The sequence below is a fragment of the Homo sapiens genome, chromosome 4, assembly GCF_000001405.40.
Source record: "Homo sapiens chromosome 4, GRCh38.p14 Primary Assembly".
NCBI lineage: Eukaryota > Metazoa > Chordata > Mammalia > Primates > Hominidae > Homo > Homo sapiens.
In genome coordinates this window covers 175672900-175696938 of record NC_000004.12, presented here as the reverse complement: position 1 = coordinate 175696938, position 24039 = coordinate 175672900, and the positions used below count along the sequence as shown (strand labels likewise).

Genomic DNA, 24039 nt, shown 5'->3' with positions numbered 1-24039 from the left:
AAGCTCAGACAAAATAGATATATAGATTTTGTTCTCAACTAACTTCGGGTGGGTTTATATCTCTAAGTTTGCTTGTAGTTTACGTTTACTCCTTGGAAGTTAATGAAGTAGGAAACAGTTGTTAGCAGCTTAATGGATGAGTGTAAGAAGGGAAAACTGTGAATTAATAGCAAGAAAAAACAAAGTTTCATAGGCTAACATGAATCACAGTACTGTGTAAACTGCCTGTACTGAACTAGGTTGTTGACAATTAAACCTAATTGCTGAAGAATTCTACTCCAACAATGGTTGAAGATCTGCCAAATTTGTATTGATGTATGATTATTGATTATTCTTGGGGAGTCAAACATAATGTAAGTCATAACTAGAACTCATGTTAGAAAACCATACTGAATTCCTAACTTTTGAAATAATAAATAGTGTGCATTTCATTAGGCAATATTTCAGCCAGGTTAGTACTCCTCAAATGGGTGTTTTTAAAAACCTCAAAACACCAATATGAAATAACAACAAGAACAAAACCAAATACTTGAACCATGAGGAATTTAGATAGACAAGATAGTGTGGTGAATAAGATTTTGGAGTCAAACTCCCCTGAGCTTGTTCCATATTGTCTCTGCTTCTTTCCAGCTTTCTTACCTTGGAAAAGTTACTTAACCTCTTTGCCTTAGTAACTAATCAGTAAAAGGGATGTATTAATGCTGCTTACATTCTAGAGTTGTATGACAATAAAATTAGTTGATAATTAGTTGATATTTCAAAACAATAATAACATGGCTGGCACAGAGTAAGCACTATACAAGTGTTTATTATTATGATGTGATAGTGGGGGTGATAGTGGTTATGATAATAATGACATCTACTCTGAAACTGACTCACAGTTTTAATACCTACTTTCATGCTGCCTTAAGTCTGTTTGTCCCTGAACATACCCTAAACAACCAGTTATTGTGAATTATCTCACAACAACTCACTCACTCACTATCTCCAGAGCAGCACTGAGGAGATGGTGCTAAACCATTCATGAGAAACCACCCCTATGATCCAATCACTTCCCACCAGTCCCCACAATGGGGATTATAATTGAACATGAGATTTGAGTGGGGACCAGATCCAAATCATATCATTCTGCCCTAGGCCTCTCCCAAATCTCATGTCCTTCTCAAGTTGCCAAATACAATTATGTTTCCCCTAAGTTCCCCCAAATTCTTAATTCATTCCAGTATTAATTCAAAAATCCAAAGTCCAAAGTCTCATCTGAGATGAGGCCAGTTCCTTTCACCTATGAGCCTATAAAATAAAAAACAAGTCAGTTACTCCCAAGATACAATTGAGTTACAGGCATTGGGTAAATACTCCAATTTCAAAAGGGAGAAAAGCTGAAAGAAAGGGGCTATAAGCCCCCATGCAAGTCCAAAATCTAGCAGGGTAGTCATTAAATATTAAAGCTCCATAATAATTTCCTTTGACTTCGTGTCTCACATCTTGGGCACACTGCAAAGGTTGGGCCCCCCCAGGCTTTGGGAAGCTTTACCCCTGTGACTTTTCAGGGTTCAGTCCTTGTGGCTGTTCTCATGGGCTGCTGTTGAATGCCTATGGCTTTTCCAGGCACAAAAGACAAGCTGGTGGTGGATCTACCATTCTGGGGTCTAGAGGATGGTAGCCCTCTTTCACAGCTCTACTAGCTAGTACCCCAATGGGGACTCTGTGTGGGAGCTCCAACCTCACATTTCCCCTCCATAGTGCTCTAGTAGAGGTTCTCTGTGAGAGCTCCAACTCTGAAGCAGGCTTATGCCTGGACATCTAGGCTTTTCTGCATATCTTCTGAAATCTAGGCAGAGGCTTCCAAACCTCAACTCTTGCCCTCTGCTCCCCTGCAGGCTTAACACTACAAGGAAAGCTGCCAAGGCTTATGGTTTGCACCCTCTGAAGCAGTGGCCCGAGTTGTATACTTGGGGGTCTTTTAGCCATGGCTGGAGTGGGAGTAGCTGGGATGCAGGAAGCAGTGTCCTGAGGCTGTGCAGAGTAGCATGGACCTCAGGCCAGGCCCTTGAAACCATTCTTTCCTCCTACACCTCTGGGCCTGTGATGGGAGGGGCTGCCACAAAGGTCTCTGAAATGCCTTTGAGGCCTATTCCCCATTGTCTTGGATATTAGCACTTGGCTTCTTTTTACTTATGTAAATTTCTGCAGCCTGCTTGAATTCCACCACTGAAAATGGGCTTTTCTTTTCTACCACATGGCTAGGCTGAGAATGTTTCACTTGTATGCTCTGCTTCCCCTTTAAATATAAGTTCCATTTTTATGTCCTTTCTTTGGTTGTGAATATGAACACAAGCTTGTTAGAAACAGCCAGGTCACATCTTGAATGCTTTGATGCTTAGAAATTTCTTCCACTAGATACCTTAAATCATCTAGATCTCTAGAGCAGAGACATAATGTGGCCAACCTCTTTGCTAATGCATAACAAAAGTGACCTTTGCTCCAGTTCCCAGTAAGTTCCTTCTTTCCATCTAAGAACTCCTCAGCCTAGACTTCACTGTACATAATCACTATCAGCATTTTGGTCACAACAATTTAACAGGTGTCTAGAAAGTTCCAAACTTTCCCTCATCTTCCTGCCTTCTTCTGAGCCCTCCAAACTGTTACAGGCTCTGCCTACTACCCAGTTCCAAAGAGGTTTCCACATTTTCAGGTATCTTTATAGCAATGCCCCACTCTTTGGTACCAGTTTTCTGTATTAGTCCATTCTCACACTGCTATAAAGAAATAGTTGAAACTGGGTAATTTAGAAAGAAGAGGTTAATTGACTCACAGTTCTGCAGGCTGTACATAAAGCATGATGCTGGCATCTGCTTGGCTTCTAGGGAGGCCTCAGGAAACTCACAATTATGGTGGAAGGCAAAAGGGAAACAGGCCTATCTTACACGGCCAGAGCAGGAGCAAGAGAGAGTAGGGGGAGGTGCTGCACACTTTCAACAACCACATCTCACCGTAACTCACTCACTCACTTTCACAAGAATAGCACTGAGGGGATAGTGCTAAACCATTCATGAGAAACTGCCCCTATGATCCAACCACCTCCCACCAGGCTCCACCTCTGACATTCGGGATTACAATTAAACATTAGATTTGGGTGGGGACACAGATATAAACCATATCATAGCAACTTTAGGGAAACATATCTATAAATAAGAACACGATAGTTTCATTCCAATAATATTTGAACAGTTATCAGATAGAAGAAAACTTGCTTTGTTCTTTATGGTTCAGAGAGAAAGAGACTTAAGCCGAAGTATTTCAATTTATAGAGAAATACTTTCTTGGCATCATATAAAGAACTTTCCAAAAATCTTTTCAAAAAAGAATACATAGACTACCTTGAAATGAGGTGATTTGCTTATCAATTAAAGTGTTTAGGGAAGGATGGTAATGAACTTGTAGTTCTGAAATGCTTACAGTCTGTAATTCACTTAGTCTTGTTAACTCAAGAATAGCTATCTTAGTAATAGTTCATGTTTCACAAATTGAGCAATCATGAATTTCAAGTATGAAAATATATTTTAAAATATTTGTATTTATTATACTTCTATAATACTCCTGTTTCCAAATATATATATACTTATATATGTATATTTTATATATATATGTATATATGTATGCATATGTGTATATATATATATTTAGGCTAATCTTATGTCTGATTAATCTTTTAATGAATGTACTCATTCAGAAAAAAACTTAGGTGATACTACGTGCCACTCACTGTGCTCATCTTTAGAAATGCATAGCAGAGCAAGACAAATTCCTTGTCTTCGAGCACTGAAATATGAAAGGTATGTGAGAAAAGTGCCATCCACATCAGCTAATCAGATACAAATAAAGAATGGTAGAGCTAGTACTTTAACAGAGTTATAGGTTTCATCAAGCTAAACAAATACAGGGAATTGAGAAGCTGCGGTAATTAATATTATACTATATGGTATTTTGCAGAGACATAGAAAAATATATAAAATGGAGCAGAATATAAAGGTAAAAAGAGACCCAAGTCCATGTAAGTACTCATAAATACACATGAAACTATGTTCCTACTTTATATTTTACCAAAATTTTTCAGGTGCATTAAAAATTAGAATTTAAAGGTAAGCTAATTTGTAAAAGCTAGACAAATACATAAATTAGGGTTTTCTTTATCATGGGGTAAGAAGGATACAAGCAATATAGTAAATCACAAAAGAAAATATTTATGTATTTGACATACTATAAATTAAAATTGTATTCATTGAAGTGTTATAAAAACATTAAAATGTATTTAAAAAAACTGAGAAAAATATTTGCAGCTTACATGAAAAGAGCTCCTAATTTTATAAAAGAAAAATTGCTACATCTACAGCAAAATGTGTCACTAAAAACAGGGAAAATATAAAAACAGGTATACTAAAAACTACAAAAGCTTAATAGCTTGTAAGCATATGTTCATCCTCACTAGTAAACTCAGAAAAGTAATTTTAAATGATACCATTATTTATAACCTATCAATTTATCAGAAAAAAATAAATTATAATACCTAGCATTAGGGAACAAAGAGAGAGTAAGACCTTTGCTTTTTATTAATGCATCTTCATTTTGGCACAAACTTTCTGGACACCATTTTGACCATATGTACATTAATTTTTTTCTAGGAATTTATCCCAGGGAAGAAATCTAGACTGAGAACAAATATTACATAATATTATCATTATTGCCATGCTGTTTTTAATAACAAGTTCTAGCTTACCATTGCTGCTGCAAAAAAGAATTACCACAAATATGGTTACTTAAAACAAAATGTATTATCTTAGAGTCCTGGAGGTCACAAGTATGAAATGGGTCTTACTGGGCTAACTGAAATGAGCTAAAATCAAGGTGTTGGCAGAATTGTGCTCCATCTGGAGGCTCTCAGGAAGAAGCCGTACTCTTGCTTGTCCTGGCTTCCAGAGGCCACCTGCATCCCTTGGCTCATGGTCCCTGTCCATCTTCAAAGCCAGCAGTGTGGCATCTTCAAATCTCACTCTGAACTTGACCCTGTCTCTCTCGCCTCTCTCTTTTACTTTTAAGGATTCTTGTGATTACAATGGGGCTACCCAGATAATCCAGGGTAATCTCCTCACCTCAATATCATTAATTTAATCACATCTCCAAATCCTTTTTGGCATATGAGATGACATATTTACAGGTTATGGAGATAATGATGTGAGCATCACTGGGGCCCTTCAGTCTTCCTACCACTGAACAAAAGTAGACAATTGGTAAAATCGATCATGATATCTTCAAGTGACAGAATGTGTCATATCCTAAACATTGTTTAAAAAGGTATATAATAGTTTAAAATATTCATAATATATTGATTTAAAAGGAAGTTTTCAAAGTGGTATATAGTAAGCATAGCTTTGTGGAATTAATTAAAATAAATTAAAAACTGGTAGTATAAACAGTGAATAATCTGCATTTTTCTTATATGCTTTTTAAAAAAATTTACAATGCTTATATATTGCTTTTACAATTAGTAAAACAGTTGTGTAACAAAGTCTGAAAGTCTACATTTAGGAAGGAGGTAAAGTAAGTGAATTAATCCCTTAAGAAGTAGGATAATATGGATGATTGTTTTGGAAGGCAAAAGTAGTGAATGTAAAACTTCTTCGCTATTTCTCTATTTGATCCTTCTGTGACTTCATAATCAGTGACTTCTTCGTCAGAGGATTATTTATGCATCTTGTGATATATCACTGACAAAAATTCATCCTCACGTAGATAAGTAAGAGTTTAATTTTCCTAATTTAATATTTGAAGTTATGTATTCTATTAACTTTATATATTGCATGTTGATAAAAGGACACTTTTGTGACAAAGAAGAGAATTAAGTCAGTAAGATACCTCAGGTTTATTATAATTTAAATGTTTGATGATTTAAAATTTTGAAATGGATTTTGGAATGTAACATTAGCACATGTCCATCACCACATTGTTTGAAGAAAAACTTTACCTAAGAATATTTGAAGGTCAAGGAATTAGCATTCAACTTCAATGAAGTCTATAGCTTGTGACAGGCTGATAATGGCCCTCAATATTATAATCCTTGTAACATCATATGTTACCTTTTATGGCAAAACAGACTTTGAAGTTGTGATTACATTCAGAATCCTGAGGTGAGCAGATCCTCCTGGATTATCTGGATGAGCCCCAAATCCCCACACAAGTGTCCTTATGAGAGGGGAACAGAGAGCCACTTGACCAGAGAAGAAGGCAGTGTTACTTCTAAAACAAGATGCTACCTGCTGGCTTTGAAGAAGGAGAAGAGGCCACTAGCCAAGGAAAGCCCAGAATGGAGTACTCTGAAAGTCGGAAAGTGCAAGGGAAGTTTCTCCAAGTCTTTAGAGGGAGTAGGGCTCTGCCAATACCTTGATGTCAGCCCAGTGAAACTGATTTCAAACTTCTGACCTCCAGAACATAAGAATGCGTCTTTTTTAAAAAGCCACCAAGTTTGTGGTAATTTGATAAAACAGTCATAGGAAATTAACACATAACTTAGGCTAATTTATTGCAGCATTTCCTGCCAGGTATTTTTACAGAGTGTTTGAGTTAAAGTTTGAAAAGATAAAATCAAAAGGTTTATATTTGCTATAATTGCCACCAATAATTTACAATTATACTTCTAGCATAGATGCCACACCTTGCAGTCTCATATGTTTCAATTGAACGAAATATGAATTTGAGATAAGTGATGTCAGCAAGTTGGTGGACTGGTATGTCCCAGCCCTTGTCCCCCATAAAACATCAATTCAACAGTAATTTACAGACCAATACCTTTATGAGATTTCCAGAATCCCCTTAAGAGTTTGCAGTACTCCAGGTGAGCACAAAGCCCGTAACAGCCATGTTGAAACAGGGGACAAGAGCAATCTTATTTATCCCACATCAGCCCCTCTTCCAAGCTAGCTCACCTCAGCACTGGGAGAAAAAGAGACCAGAAGGGTAGAACACACACCCAGTGCTCTGGCTTTTTGGAGGGTTGGTTGAGGGACTGGTTTCTGTCTCACCTCATTCTAAGCAGTGACAGAACTAGCCTAGTGTAGATACCTGGCGGCTTCTGAGAACATCTCAGTGAAATTGGGAGAAGCCTCACAAACATTGTTCTGCAAACACTGACAGACCCGAAGGGAGAAATTAACAGTGACACAATCATAGTAGGAGATTTCAATACCTCACTTTCAAGAATGGATAGAATATCCAGACAGGTAACAGAGACTTGAATTACACCATAGAACAATGGCATAACAGCATGTACAGAACATGCCACCCAGTGGAGTAGAGTACATATTCTTTCCAAGTGCAGCTGGAACATTCACCAGGAAATATCACATCAGCTCATAAAACAAGGCTTAAAAAATTTAAGAGGGTTGAACTTATATTTCTACAACTCCATTTACAATAGCTTCAAAAAGAAAAAAAAAAACGCTATAAATAAACTTAACCAAGGAGGGAAAAGGCTTGTACACTGGAAATTGTAAAACATTCTTGAAAGAAATTAAAGAAGACACAAATAGATGGAAAGACTTCCCATATAATGCACTGAAAAACTTAATATTGTTAAAATGTTCTTATGAACCAAGGCAATTTGTGGATTAAAGCTATATTTATCAAAATCACAATGGTATATTTTGCAGAAATAGAGTAAATCCTAAAATTCTTATGGAATCACAAAGGGCTCCAAATAGTCAAAACAATCTTGAGAAAGAAGAATAAAAGTGAAACTTCACACTTCTTCACTGCAAAACATTATAAATTGACAGTAATCAAAACAATCTTGGCCAGGCATTGTGGCTCATGACTGTAATCCCAGTGCGTTCGTAATCCCTATCTCTACAAAAAAAGTAGAATAATTAGCCAGGCATGGTGGTGCCTGCCTGTAGTCCAAGCTGCTCAGGAGGCTGAGACTGGAGGATCTCTTGAGCCCAGAGGTTTGAGGCTGTGGTGAGCTATGATTGCACCGCTACACTTCAGCCTAGGTGACAGAGTGACACCCTGTCTCTAAAAAACAAACCAACAAACAAAAAACAGAAAATAACAAAAACCAACAGTTTGATATGTATGTATATATGTATGTATGTATTTATTGGTACATAATTACACGTATTTGTGGGGCACATGTGGTATTTTGATATAGGCTTACAATGTGTAATGATCTAATCAGGGTAATTAGGATACCCATTGCCTCAAATTTTTATCATTTCTTTGTTCTGGAGATGTTTCAAATATTCTTTTCTAGCTATCTTGAAATAAATTATTTTTAACTATAGTCACTCTACTGTGCTGTTGAACCCTAGAGTCTGGTATTGACATAAAGACAGACACATAAACCACCATAGCACAGTAGACAACCCAGAAATAAACTCAAGCATATACTATCACCGAATTTTCACCAAGAAGACACAATGACAAATAGGTAGTCTCTTCAATAAAGGATGCTGGAAAAACCGGATCTCCACATGCAATATGATGAAATTGAATGCTTATATTACACCACACACAAAAATAAACTCAAAATGAATTAAACTTTAAATGTAAGACCTAAAATTATAAAACTGCTAGAAGAAAACATAGGAGAAAAGTTCATACCTTTGATCTTGGTGATGATTTCTTGGATATGACACAAAAGTCATAGGTCACAAAAGCAAAAATAATAGACAAGTGTGACTAGATGGAGCTGAAAAGCTTCTGTGCAGAAAAGGAAACAGTCAACAGAGTGAAAGGGCAGCCTACAGAATGAGATAAAATATTTACAAACTGTTTATCTGGTAAGGAATTAATATCCAAAAAATATAAGTAACTCCTACAACTCAATAGCAAAAAAACAAAAACAAAAATACCCAATTAAAAAATAGGCAAATGAGGACTTGAATAGGTATTTCTCCAAAGAAGACTTACAATTGGCCAACAGGTATATGAAAAGATGTTCCAAATCACTAACCATCTGGGAAGTGCAAATCAAAACCATAATGAGCTGTCACCTCGCACTTATAAGGATGCCCATTACAAACAACAAAATAAGACAGAAAATAACAAGTGTGGGTGAGTATGGGAATAAATTTGAACCCTAGTGTTCACTGATGCTAAGAATGTAAAATTGGGCAGCCACTATGGAAAACAGTTTGGCAGTTCCTTGGAAAATTAAAATTAGCAATGCTATGTGATCCAGCAATCCCATTTCCGGGTATTAATACAAAAGAGTTCATATCAGGATCTTGAAGAGATACATATACTCTCAAGTTTACTGCAGCATAATTCACAGTATTCAAGATGTGGAAACAGACAAAATGTACATGGATAGATGAATGCATAAAGAAAATACAGTATATACATACAGTGTAATCTTATTTGGCCACAAAAAAGGAGGAAATCCTGTCATTGTGATACTAGATGGAAGAAGTTCAAGGACATTACACTAAGTAAAATAAGCCAGTCACAGAAGGATAGTGCTGCACAATTTTATTTATATGAACTATCTAAAATGGTCAAAATTATAGAAGCAGAAGATAGAATGGTGGTTGTCAGGGCTGTGGCCTGGGGAATATGGGGAGTGGCTGTTCAATGAGTGTGGAGTTTCAGTCTTGTAAGATGAAAACGTTTGAATGATCTGCTATACCACGTTGTGCTTATACTTGACAATGCTGTATTGTACACTTAAAAATATGTTAAGAGAGTAAATCCCATATTCTGTGTTATTTACTGCAATAAAAAATAATGAAACATGACTTTCCTTTACCACAACCCTAAACATTCTAAAGTAGCTTCAATATAGCCTGCAAAATTGCAGATACTCTGTTCTGAAGTCTGGTAGAGAAGCAACTGGAAACATCAACTTCAATATATCTATACACTAGACTAGAAAAGCTACTCATTTTTACTCAGGAATGTTTGGTTTTCAGTGCTTAGGAAGAAGCAGGCATTTCTTACTTTTTAAAATTGCCATTTTCCAGCTCTAAAGAAATATTGCATACTCTAGCAACTTGTGTGTCAAACCACTGTGTTCTAATAAATGACTTGTAGCATACAAGTGCATTAGACAATGTCAGAATTTGTTTCAAGCAATCTTTACATACAGAACAAAAAGATGTAATAATTAATTAGTCAACTATATTAGTTCACTGTGACTGCCATAACATATAGCCACAAACTGTTGGCTTAAAACAGCAGAAATGTATTCTCTCATAGTTGGAGAGGCCAGACACCTGAAGTCAAGGCGTCAGCAAGGGTGGCCTCTTCCCGGAGATTGGTAGGGGAAATTCTGCTCCTTGCTTGTTCCTGACTCTGGTGGTTGCGGGCCTTCCTTGGCTTGAGGCCACAGCACTCTAATCTCTGCCTCCGTCTTCACATTACCTTCTTTTCTTCCGTGTGTCTCTCTGAACCCCCTCCCTGTATCTCATAAGGAAACATGAGCTTGCATTGAGGCCCCACCTGAATAATGCAGAATAAGCTTCTCCTGTCAAGATTTTCAATCACAATTTATGCCATGAAAGTTAATATTCACTCCTTTGCCATGTTAAGTAATATTCATAGGTGTCAGGGATTAGGAAGTATTTGCTTGGTGCAAAGTTATTGCGGTTTTGCCATTGAAAGTAATGGTTAAAACTGCAATTACTTTTGCACCAATCTAAATAAATGTATGAAGTGAGGTTTTTTATAGCTGACCACAGTAATCAAGGTTCATTTTCGCTCTTGCAATAATTGCTGCCTGTGACAACTTTTTGTAAGAATTGAAATGTTAGAAACTTTTGGAAATGCACAAAGTAAGCCTGCCTGTGTAGTTTTACTGGAGGCACATCTGATTTCCTGCTTTTTGCCATGGGAAGAATCCATGTGAGCATAAGCAGCATCTTGGAACATTGGAATATGTGGACGAGACAAAAAGAAAGCATATTTCTAAGCCTATTCCTGAAACAAAAACAAATGTGTGTGCGTGCACACACACACACACACACACACTTTTAATGATCATTTTTACTTCAATCTAGAAGTTATGTTAGTAAAAATGCTGCTTGCCAATAAGCTTTTGGGAAGATAAGAAGAGATGTATGATATGTGTGTGGGGGGGTGTATAAAAATGTCACAACTCTAAACCCAGAATATTACACAATGAGACACTCCCACTAAAGTCAAGAACAAAGAAGGCTAGAATCTCTGCTTTTCATTCTCCTCCTCTTCTCTGAATCTCTGCTTAAACCATTGTTCTAAACAGAAAACATGATAATTGGCAAACAAGAAATAAAACTCCCTCTATTTCCAGGTAACAGGGTGAGATACTTGAAAAATGTTAGGACCAATGATTAAGCCAATTCCAATAATAATAGAATTCAGCAACATAGTAGGATATAAAATTTACATGTAAAAATCAGGAACATTTGTATAGCTACAGAAGAATTTTTAAAGGTAAAGGTAAACTTGATTTATAGTAGCCAAAAAAGTAAATTAAGGACCTTAACAAGAAACGTTCAAAACTTACATGAAGTTGGCTGTGAAACACTCCTCAAAGATGTAAAAGTAGATTTGAACAAATGAAAAGGTATTCTTCATTCTTGTTGAGGATTATCAAAATGTTAATTCTCTCAAAATTAATGAATAGATTCAGTATACCCTAATAAAACGTCAATGGACATTTTAATAGTGCTAAAGAGGAACATCCTAAAGTTCATGTGTAAAAATAAACACACATAGGCCAGGCGCGGTGGCTCACGTCTGTAATCCCAGCACTTTGGGAGGCCGAGGCAGGTGGATCACGAGGTCAGGAGATCAAGACCATCCTGGCTTATGTGGTGAAACCCCGTCTCTACTAAAAAATACAAAAAAATTAGCCGGGCGTGGTGGTGGGCCCCTGTAGTCCCAGCTACTCGGGAGGCTGAGACAGGAGAATGGCGTGAACCTGGAGGCAGAGCTTGCAGTGAGCCGAGATCGCACCACTGTACTCCAGCCTGGGCGACAGAGCGAGACTCCGTCTCAAAAAAAAATAATAATAAAACAAAACAAAACAAAACAAAACACACACACACACACAAATAGTTAAGAAAATACAAAGAAGGGAGAGCTATGAGAGATCTAATCTTACAAGATATTAAGACATACGTAAAGCCCCTCTGATTAAAACAGTGTGTTACTGGCACACAAATGAACAGATTTATGGAACAGAATGGAAAGGACCGAACAGATAAATCTAGATATAGAAATTCATTGTATGACAGAAGTAGACCTAAAAATCATTGCAGCAAAGATGATCTTTTGAATAAATGATGTTGGAACAACTGGACAGCCATTTTGAAAAAAAGATAAAGTTAGATTTTATCTTTTAGATAAAATTGATTTTATCTAATTTTATCTAATTTATCTGATTTTATCTAATTTGATAAAATTAGATTTTATCAATTCTTGTGCCACCCAAAGAAAAAATGGTAAATTGATCCAATGTCTAAATATAATAAAATGAAACTGGACACATGCTAGAAGAAGGCATGGGTGAATTCCTCTGGGTGTAGGTAAAGGCTTCTAACTGTGATAAAATCCCAGATGAGATGTAATAAAAATAAACACTGATAACATTGACAACATATAATTTCTCTTTTTTTAAAGTTGCATAGTAAAATGCCATAAGCAAAGCCAAAAGACAAATGGCAAACTAGAAGAAAATATTTGTAACATCTGTCACTTGTGTCTTAGCCCTCTCTTACATTGCTATAAAGAAATAACTAAGACTGAATAATGTATATATATTAAAAAATGTAAGGCCGGGTGCAGTGGCTCATGCCTGTAATACCAGCACTTTGGGAGGCAGAGGCAGGTGGATCACGAGGTCAGGAGTTTGAGACCAGCCTGGCCAAAATGGTGAAACTCCATCTTTACTAAAAATACAAAAATTAGCTAGTGTGGTGGTGCACGGCTGTAATCCCAGCAATTCGGGAGGCTGAGACAGGAGAATTGCTTGAACCCAGGAGGTGGAGGTTGCAGTGAGCCGAGATCACATCACTGCACTCCAACCTGGAAGACAAGAGCAAAACTCCTTCTCAAAAAAAAAAAAAGTATATGTATATATGTTTAATTGGCTTATGTTTCTGCACACTATAGAAGAAGTATAGTGGCATCTATTACTGGGCAGTCCTCAGGAATCTTCCTATCATAGTGGGAGGCAAAGAGGGAGCAGGCACCTCACATGGCCAGAGCAGGAGCAAGAGAGGGAGAGAGAGAGAGTTAAAGGGGAGGTGCCACACACTTACACACTTTTAAGATAGCACCAAGCCATGAGAGATCCACCCCCAAGACCCAAATGCCTCCCATCAGGCCCTACCTTCATTATTGGGGATTATAATTCAACATGAGATTTAAGCAGGGACAAATATCCTAACTATATCACTCCACTCCTGGACTCTCCCAAATCTCATGTCCTTCTCATGTTGCAAAATATAATCATGCCTTCCCAACAGTCACCCAAAGTCTTAACTCTTTCCAGCATTAACTCAAAAGTCCAAAGTCTCATCTTAGACAAGCCAAACCCCTTCTACTTGTGAGCCTGAAAAATCAAAAACAAGTTAATTCCTTCCAAGATACAATGGAGACACAGACAGTAGGTAAATATTCCCATTCCAAAAGGAAGAAATTGACTGACATAAAGGATATTATAGGCCCCATGCAAGTTCAAAATACAGCAGGGCAGTCATTAAATATTAAAGCTCCAAAATAATCTTTACTCTGTGTCCCACTATCCAGGCCACACTGATGGAAGGGATGGGCCCTCAAGGCCTTCAGCATCTCTACCCTTGTGACTTTGCAGGGTTTAACTCCTGTGGCTGCTCTCACAGGATTTAAGTGCCTGCATATTTTTGAGGCACAGAGTGCAAGCTACCAGTGGATCCACTATTCTGGGGTCTGGAGATCAGTGACCCACTTCTCACAGTTCCACTAGGCAGTGCCCTGGTGGGGACTCTGTGTGGGAGCTCCAAACTCTTTTTCTGCTTGGCATTGCATCTAGCAGAGGTTCTTGTGAGGCCTCCACTCTTGCAGCAGACTTCCTCCTGGGCACCCAGGCTTTCTCATACATCCTCTGAAATCTAGGCAGGGGCTGCCAAGTGTTCTTCACTCTTGCATTCTGTGTATCTACTGGCTTAGCACACCATGGAAGCTGACAGGGCTTATGGCTTGCACCCTCTGAAGCAGCAGCCCAAGCTGTATCTGGTGCCTTTTGAGCCATGGTTGGAGCATGAGCAGTTGGGATGTGAAGAACAGTGTCCCAAGGCTGCATAGGATAGTGGGGCCCTGGACTTGTCCCCTGAAACCATTCTTTCCTTCTAGGCCTCTGGGCCTGTGATGGGAGAGGCTACCACAAAGGTCTCTGAAAGGCCTTCAAGGCCTGTTCTCCATTGTCTTGGATATTAGTACTTTGCTCTTTTTCCGTTATGCATATTTCTCTAGCAAGAGATTGCTCCACGTCCTGCTTGAATTCTGGAATTCCTCTCCAGAAAACTTTTTTTTTCCTCTTGCCACATGGTCAGGCTGTAAATTCCCCAAACTTTTATGCTATGCTTCCTGTTTAAATATTATTTCAAATTTAAAGTTATTTATTTCTTCCCACATCTGAGCATTGGCTGTTAGAAGCACCCATGCAAATACTTAGCAGCTTAGAAATTTCTTCTGCCAGATACCCTAAATCATCACTTTGAAGTTCAAACTTCCACAGAGGCCTAGGACATGGACAAAATGCAGCCAAGTTCTTCAATAAGGCATAACATGTGTGACCTTTGCTCCAGTGCCCTATAAGTTTCTCATTTTCATCTGAGACCTTGTCAGCCTTGACTTCACTGTCGATGTCACTATCAGCATGTTGGTCACAATCATTTAATCAGTGTCTAAGAAGTTCCAAAGTTTCCCTCATATTCCTGTTTTCTTCTGAGCGCTCCAAACTCTCTCAACCTCTGCCTGCTACCCAATCCAAACCTGCTTTCACATTTTCATGTATCTTTATAGCAATGTCCCACTCTTCAGTACCAATTTTCTCTGTTAGACCATTCTTGCATTACTATAAAGAAATACCTGAAACTGGGCAATTAGTAAAGAGATTTAATTGGCTCATGGTTCTGCAGGTTTTACAGGAAGCATGGTGCTGGCATCTGCTTGGTTTCTAAGGAGGCCTCAGAAATCTTGCCATCATAGCAGAAGGTGAAGGGGGAGCAGGCACATCACATGGCCAGAGTGGGAGCAAGAGAGAGTTGGAGGGGAGGTGCTACACCCTCTTAAGTTAGCACCGAGCCAGGAGGGATATGTTCTCATGATCCAAACACCTACCACTGGGCCCCACCTCCAGCATTGGGGATTACAATCAACATGAAGTTTAGGCAAGGACAAATATCTAAACTATCAACAGACAAAAGTATAATATCCCTTATTTATAGAGATCTTTTAAAAATTATGGGGTGCAGAGAGGACCACAAATCTTATGGTAAAATGGCAAACACATGAATAGACAATTCATAAAAAGATATATAGTGCCCATAATCATATTAAAAGATGTTGAATTTCATGAATACCTAAGATAAATAAAGCAATACCAGGATACCACTCATCACCCATCAGATTAGCAACAATTTAAAAGCTTAACAATGCTTTCTTCTGTTGAGGATGGGGAGAAACAGACATTCTAATATACTGCTGGTTGGAATACAAAATGGTACAAGACCTATAGAGAGGAATTGGCAATACGTAACAAAACTACATATGTCTTTAATTTCCAACTCAACAATCCTCCCATCCTAATTCTAAAGATACATCTTCAATTATTTGAAAATACATATGAACAAAGTTATTCATTGCTGCAATATTCTAACTGTAAGATATCAATAACCATATAAGTAAGCATTGGAGATTTTGTGAATAAATGATAGTGTGTAAATACACATGGAGTAGTATGCAAGTTAAAAAGAATGAGAACAATCTCTATGAATTTGTATAGAGAAATTTTCAAAGACTATTGTTCATTGATCAAAGTACAAATGTATGAATATATGGAGTATATATGAAGAATATATGGAGTATGCACATTTCATGTAAAAAGAAGGGAAAATAGACATATACACAAACATGCACACACTTGCCTTTACATAAAAACACAGTAAAGATAATCAAGGATCCAATGAAATGGGTTACCTACAAGGAACAGGACGGACAGGATAGAAAAGTCTTGCCACTTTTCTGGATATGTCTTTTGTATAGATTTGACTTTAAGAAGCATGTTAATGTCCTGTATATCCAAAAATGAAACTAAGTCAATATGGATGAGATGGACAACGTGAAACTGAAACAAACAGTTGCATTAACATGGCCACAATGAAGGGAAGAAAAAATACACTAATCCATGTAACTTAGAAACACAGTATATTGACTATATAGTCTCAGTCTTGGGCAAGGTGTGGGAAGGATTGCAAACCACAAGAACTCTTTCTAGATAGATATGATTTTTGTAATGAGGTGAATAAGTAATTCTGAAATAATTTTAGATTTATTATGGAATTAAACCAAAGAATAAACGTGTTAATATTCTTGGGAGTCAGTATTCTCATTATGGAAGAAAGACGTACAAATATCAAAGGAGGAAAGCAATAAAAATCCCTGTAGCGATAGACTGGGTTTGGAGGTATCACTGTATACTCAATATTTCTAAAATATGTGTATATTTGTTATGCAGTTACATGTGCACATGTATATATATGTATATATGAACACACATACATGTACACATATATAGATATGTTTATATAGTTGCATATATTGATGTGTGTGTGTATACATACATGTGTTTCTTACCTTGATACAATAAAAAGACCTAAAGGTAAAGACACAACATTTGCAATGAGCACATATAGCACCACATCTTGGTCCCGAATACCATTGCTCTTTAATAGGACGAGAGTTTCTCAAAGAGATGCCTGTTTCTGAGGTTGAAAGAGGTGTGTGCAAGGTGAGCCTGGAGCATCTTGCTATGTGAGAAAGCAAGGAGTATTCTTACAAATTGCTAGGCACATGTCACAAAGATACAAGAACCAGCTTGAAGGGATTCCTATTGCTCAAGTCTAGAAAAATTTGAGTACCAAAATAATGAGCTATTGTAATGGCATTTAAACCTTGAGAAAAAAATCAGATACCATTAGTCCGTGTCACTAACAAATAGACAAATCAATAAATGGGGGAAAAGGGTGGGCTCTTCTTGCATCAGAATACCTAGTGCTATTTGCAAATGTGGAGCTGGTAATGGAGTTAGGAAATCATCATTTTGCAAACATGATAAGAAGATTGGGTCTGGCAATACTCATCATTGGATGGGGTGCTAACATTGGGGAGAAGTTTTGACCGGGAGCAAGATGTTTGCTTGGTCTTAAAGTATCTCCTCACAGATCGCTTGTTAGTTGGAAGAGAAGTAGTACACAGTACAGAAATCAGACATCATCTTAACTAGATGATGAAAATTAAAATTAGTACTGAGAGGCAGAAGGGCTTTGTGTGAGTGAGGAGGGAGATACCCTGACAGGAGCACAATATCGCTTGTATAGTATTCTAGCCAAGAATGAGTAACCCGTATCTAACCATGAGGAAACATCAGACAAACTCAAAAGGAACATTCCGTTCAAAAAGGGCAGAATAGAGTTATATTCTTCAACAACATAAATGTCATTAAGACACAGAAAGACAGTGGAAGTGTTCCAGATTAAAGAAGACCAGAGACACAGCAAATGGGTATAATAGTAGCCCCTAGATTGGCTCCGGTATCAGGCAAGAAAGAAATCCCACAAAGTTCATCATTGAGTTGGTTGATGAAATTGAAATACAAATAAAGATTTGACATAAGTATGTCAATGATATATTTCCTGAGGTCAATAACTATACACTGTGAAGATGTTCTCTATGTTCAGATATATCATCCAGAGAAAACAATCAAGTAAATGAGATAAAATGTTACAGAGAAAGGATGTAAAGTTGCTCCACATACTACTTGTTTTATTCAACTTTTTTCTGTAAATTTGAAATTATTTCCAAATAAAAAATTAAAATATGTTTAGAAAACATGCCATTTTCACCAAAAGAATTGTATAGAATAGCCCATGAAACACTCTTTAAAGTGTTCTTGATGTCAAATTTGATCTGTAAGTTGACATCCTCAGATTCTTTCAAATGCGCGACAGGTTTACACAGTTCACATCATCTGCCTCATTGCCTTTGACAAATAGATTTCTGCAATATTTAGACTTTCAGGCAGTGAAAGTCAGCCACTAAACAATTGCTCTGGGACATTACCATTACCAAGTTCTTCTCTCTCTCTCATCTGCTATGCAGCAAATCCTATTTCATGCATTCTTTCAAAAATATTGTCACAGGATCTCTAGATTTCTATCAGCATAATCAAGCTTTCTATCCCCTCATTTTGCTCTTGTATATAATCACAGGATGTCTCCATCACTTAATGCCACCCCTATCCATTCTAGTCGTACTCTAATTAATTAAGAAAATAAATTCAAGCTTGAGAAAGTGAAATAAACAACAATTTGTTAATAAAACAGTATCAAGGCTGCAGAAATAGACCTTTAGCTAATATACATACTTTTCCACACACCATGACCCCTTCTTCACTTCAATAAAATTCCTACTCCCAGAAGATTCTTTCTCTTTTCTCCAATGCCATTGACAGTTCTCCTCCAGATGTTCCATATGTTCTTTGCCTTATCAGTGTGAAGTCATATGTGTGAGTGTGTCTCTGTGTGTGTCTGTATGGCCTGGAGTGGGGAATTCAAAATATTAAGTGACTGCTTCCACATGATGAACTCAAGACGTATACGCTGTTTTTTCCATATATATAAAATACATGTGCTAAAGGAAGAAATATTGTTGAGGTCCAATAATTTAATAGAGATAGCTATATCCTAACCATCATGTGACTGACTTAGGCTAAAACTTTTTTGCTCGATTGTTTCCTGTGTTGAAAGAATTATTCAATGGACTAGCAATCTGTGACCACGTTTTTCATGACTGGTACATTTGGATATGGTGATATGCTTATCTCAGGATTTCTTTAATATAGGCTCTTGCTTTTTGTTTATAAGTTCTTTTCTAAAATATTTATTTAGCAGATATTATCTAGTTCTTTGAGAGTGTAATGCTTTTGTTTAATTACATCAGAAAATTTTTAGAACCAGAATGATCGGAAAAAGATTTTCTGAGCAATAATTAGTTTTTAGAGATTAAAATGGATTTCCCTCAATAATTCATTTCATATAAAAACTAGGAAAATTATTGAAAGCACTTTTTTTGGCCAAATTCTTCCCATTTAGCATGTTTGCAATTTTTTCAGTTCTATGCCTTAAATTTCTTTTTTTCTTCCCCCCCATTCATTTGTACTTTTGTCTACCAAACAAATCCTCTACAAGAAAATCATTCCCTACTTTAGAGGTTTTTGTCTTATGCCAACAAATTCTCTTAGCCTTTTTTGTTTATGTGTTAGCACATAGAAAAGTAGAGAAAACCTATTTGCCAAGAGGGAGGAAGATGTTAAACCCCTCACTTCCCCAAAATGGTACCGAAACATAACATTTCAGGCCAAATTTATAGCCTAAACAGTAGTTACACAATGAAAATGTATTACTTATCATAGCAAAAATGTGTTCATTCTTCACACATTATATAATATTCATTCCTTATGTACATATTTAATAACATATTCCTATGTTATTAAAAACAACAACAAATGCAGTTTTTTGAGCTATGAAATTTAAGCAAATTAGAAACGATTAAAATTACATTGATGAATCTTGAAGTTGATCTAAAAAATTACTGTTGAAAATAAATAGGGTACTGGTATGCTGAAATTTACTTAAATAATTTGACAAGTTAAGTTTGAGCCACAAAGGATATATATGTGACCAGTTTTAATTGGGAAAAAAATCATGGGATAGATACTTAAATAGATCTGGAGGATTCAAATCAAATTTATTTTCTAAGAAAATGATAGCTAAGAATTAAGAGGCTTTTGATAGACACTTATCTTATTCATTAGCTCTTTTGTGATACTCATTAACATACATTAATTTAATGATTAAATTACTTCCTTTTTTTTCCTTTCACATTTTTTACATTTAGATAGGTTCTCACTTTGTTTCTCAGGCTGGAGTGCAGTGGTGTGATCGTAGCGCATTGCAGCATTGACCTCCTCAACACAAACAATACTGCAGCTTCAGCCTCCCACGTAGCTAGGACTACAGCCTTCTGCCAGCAAGACTGTCTAGTTTTTAAATTTTTGTAGAGATGGGGTGTCTCTATGTTGACCAGGCTGGTTTCGAACTATGGTTCAAGTGATCCTCTCACCTCAGCCTCTCGAAGCGGTGGGATTGCAGGCGTGAGCCACTGCCCCCACCCAATTCAGTTTTTTATCCAGCATTGTCAGATATCGTTCTAGTGGAAGATACAGTAGTTGATATAAATGATCAAAACTTCTGTCTTTATGAAACTTATATTCTAGTAGAGATGTCAAAAATTAAAGGGAGGCTGGGTGTAGTGGCTCACACATGTAATCCTAGCACTGTAGGAGGCCAAGGCTGGCAGATCCTGTATTAGTCCGTTCTCAGGCTGCTATAAAAGACATACCTGAGACCGGGTAATTTATAAAAGAAAGAGGTTTAATTGACTCACAGTTCAGCCAACTGGAGAGGCCTCAGGAAACTTACAACCATGGTGGAAGGGGAAGCAAACACGTTTTTCACATAGCGGCAAGAGAGAGAAGTGCAGTGAGAAGCAGCAGGAAAGCATCTTAGAAAACCATCAGATCTCACGAGAACTCACTCACTATCACAAGAACAACATGGAGGTAACCGCCCCCATGATTCACCTACCTCCCGGTGGGTCTCTCCCATGACACATGGGGATTATGGGAACTACAATTCAAGATGAGATTTGGGTGGGGACACAGCCAAACCATATCAGATCCCTTTGAGCCCAGGAGTTCAGATCCCTTCAGACCAATCTGGGCAGCATGGCAAAACCCCGTCTCTACAAAAAAAACGAAGAAATTTGCAAGGCATGGTGGTGCACACCTCTAGTCTCTACTACTTGGGAGGCTGAGGCGAGAGGATCACTTGAGTCCAGGAGGTTGAGGCTGCGGTGAGCCATGCTCGTGTCACTGCACTCCAGTCAGGGTGACAGAGGGAGACCATGTCTTGAAAAATAAATAAATAAATAAATAAGTGGAAATTATACGAAGAAAAATCATTAAAAATCTTAATTATGAAGGAAATTAGAAGTTCAAAGGAAGATTAGTGGGTTTATTGAAAGTGTAAATTTGTTTCATACTCACTGAATTCACCCAGCAGTCTCAAGGAAATATTTAACATCAACAAGTACTTATATATTGGTGCTGTATTAACTTTTAATTAGAAAGTCATGGTCTCTATCCAAAGAAATGTATATAATTAATACATTCCCAGTGTTAAATATAACCTGTTTTTTAGGTTAAGCAACTATTGCATAGCATTCAGTTGGTGTTATTGCCACATCTGCATTTAACTGGCTGTTTCTACAACTCTTACTACGTTGAATATAAAAGCTCACTGATCATGCAGATATATATATAATATATATACATATATACATATAAAATAAATAAATCCTAATGGAGTATTTAACTCTAGCTACACCTAGGACTATGAATATTCCTACAGATTTAAAAGATATTATTTGGAGCATATGTATGGAATGAATGTTTTCAAAACATGGGAATGCAAATGATCTTCATTCATAAATGAACTAATTGTTCTTAATGTTATTGAATATCATTTCCTAGTTACAGAGCTGGGGAAAAGAATTAAATCTATCTATCTATCCATATATCCATCTGTTATTATGTATCAGTTCTGGCTGTGCACATTTTTATATTTTCTAGATAAATGTTTTATTTTAGCCACATGGTGTTTTTTTCTTTTAAAAAAAAAAAGCAAAACTGGGTAATCAATTGTGAGAAAATGAAAAGGACCTTCCCATGCCACTATAAAAGTATGCCATATCTTGGCTCAGATCCAATTCTGCTGAATATTCATTAGTGAGTATACCTAAATGGCTTCATTGTCAATGTTTATCTGTAAAACCATATCTTTTCATTATTCGCATTATCATTAACAAATACACATGATGTGTATGATGAGTACAAAATAGAATACAACTATAATTGACTATCTGTAACGTAAAAATATGGAATTTGTATCATTTTATGTAAAACTACTGCATCATTAAGTATAAAGCTTCCTTCCCTTTTAATGTAAGTTTTAAAAACCAGTGTTACATACACAAATCTTTGCATTTGGTATTTTGTCCTAATTAGAGAAATCATATGATAATTACCCTACTTAACAAATGAATAGGCCAGGAGTAGTGGCTCAGCCTGAAATCCTAGCACTTTGGGAAGCCAAGGTGGTGGATTGCCTGAGCTCAGGAGTTTGAACCAGCCTGGCCAACATGGTGAAACCCTGCCTCTTCTAAAAAGACAAAATTATCTGGGCATGGTGACACATGCCTGTAATCCGAGCTACTTGGGAGGCTGAGGCAGGAGAATCACTTGAACACGGCAGGCAGAAGTTGCAGCGAGCCGAGATCGCACCACTGTACTCCAGACTGGGCAACAGAGCAGTCTCTGTCTCAAAATAAATAAATAAATAACTAAATAAAAATAAGGAGCAAATTCCTTTAGAAGTATAATTTATTGCTTATTCCAGCTTACTTTGGTGTGAACCAGGGAAGAGGAGAAGTTAGAAAAGAAGAAGAAACTGACAAACATGAAAACCTTAAATCTCTTGTCAACAAATATTGGAAGTGGCAGCAAAAAAATTGTATATAAACATTAGATATATGAAGCAAACATGTTTTTAAATCCAACCTTCATTATGAATATAAATATTCTATAACTTTCATTCCAAAAGAATCATGAGCATGTGAGAATCAATTTCTGCACAGCAGCAATGAAAAGTTATTGAAATAAATCACTTTGTCTTTTCTCTCAGGATTGACATCTTTAAGTATGTGATCTACGGCATCGCAGCTGCGTTCTTTGTGTATGGCATTTTGCTGATGGTGGAAGGTTTCTTCACAACTGGGGCCATCAAAGATCTCTATGGGGATTTCAAAATCACCACTTGTGGCAGATGTGTGAGCGCTTGGGTATGTTAGTTCTCTACATTCAGTATTTAATGTGGATTGATTTCAATAGCACACAGGTGTTTGCATTCATCTCCCAAGAATTAAAGTATTTTTTTTTCACACAGTAACGTTTCCTTCTGTGATGCTATCTTAAATCTTGATAACATTATTTTTGAAATTAAGATTATTCCTTGTGAAAATTCAGTTTCAAATACTCAGATTCTATGTAGCACAACTAGTTTTGTTTCTAGAGGTAGCAACACTGTTGATTGATGTATGGTTTTTTTTTTCCAAAGGGCTCTGTGATTCTCTTGAGAATCACAGAAAAATTCATCTCCAATTTATAAGCAATACATGTGCCTGTCTCCTGTTAAACATATGTCTCTGTATTTTACTGTAAATTTGAGGACAGCTATATCATATGATTTCTGTTTTCTATTAATTTAAGAATTCTATTAATTTCAGCATTAAATTTTAATTTATATAATATTTAATGGCAAATCAAACTTATAGTCTTACTCTACAGTTTTGTAATACAGACAATGCGTATCTATCTATTAATGCATGAGTGGTGAAAATGAAAAATAATAAGGTTGAAAGTACTTTTGCACTTTTATACAGAATAATTTTTCTAGAATGAAATGTTGAAGCTTCCATTCTTGACAGACATATTTTCCTTTTTTCTAATGTTATGTAACAACATGTGTCTAATTATAGCATATAATTCATGTTAAGTAAGCTGTCTCTAATAAGGACTGATGTAAATTACTTCAATCTCACAGAAATGTTCAAAAATGCCTG

At 36.7% G+C, this 24039-nt stretch overlaps 1 protein-coding gene across 8 annotated transcripts in view, besides 1 other annotated feature; it reads left to right on the top strand.

The window, feature by feature from the left end:
• GPM6A (glycoprotein M6A) overlaps positions 1 to 24039 on the top strand; it is a 369457-nt gene that overhangs the window by 305455 nt on the left and 39963 nt on the right. For 6 of the 8 annotated variants that reach the window (NM_201592.3, NM_005277.5, NM_001388090.1 and 3 more), the window contains one exon: positions 23103 to 23259. The exons of the other annotated variants lie outside the window; for them this stretch is intronic. In NM_201592.3, coding sequence (NP_963886.1) covers positions 23103 to 23259 — 157 coding nt within the window. The remainder of the gene's footprint in view (positions 1 to 23102; positions 23260 to 24039) is intronic. 8 annotated transcript variants of the gene reach the window in all.
• Positions 1853 to 2419: an enhancer, noted in NCBI's record as "OCT4-NANOG hESC enhancer chr4:176615671-176616237 (GRCh37/hg19 assembly coordinates)". NCBI's record gives its function as "activates a minimal SCP1, AML or CMV promoter by ChIP-STARR-seq in primed H9 embryonic stem cells {active_cell/tissue: H9 hESC(primed)}" and the evidence as "EXISTENCE:reporter gene assay evidence [ECO:0000049][PMID:30033119]".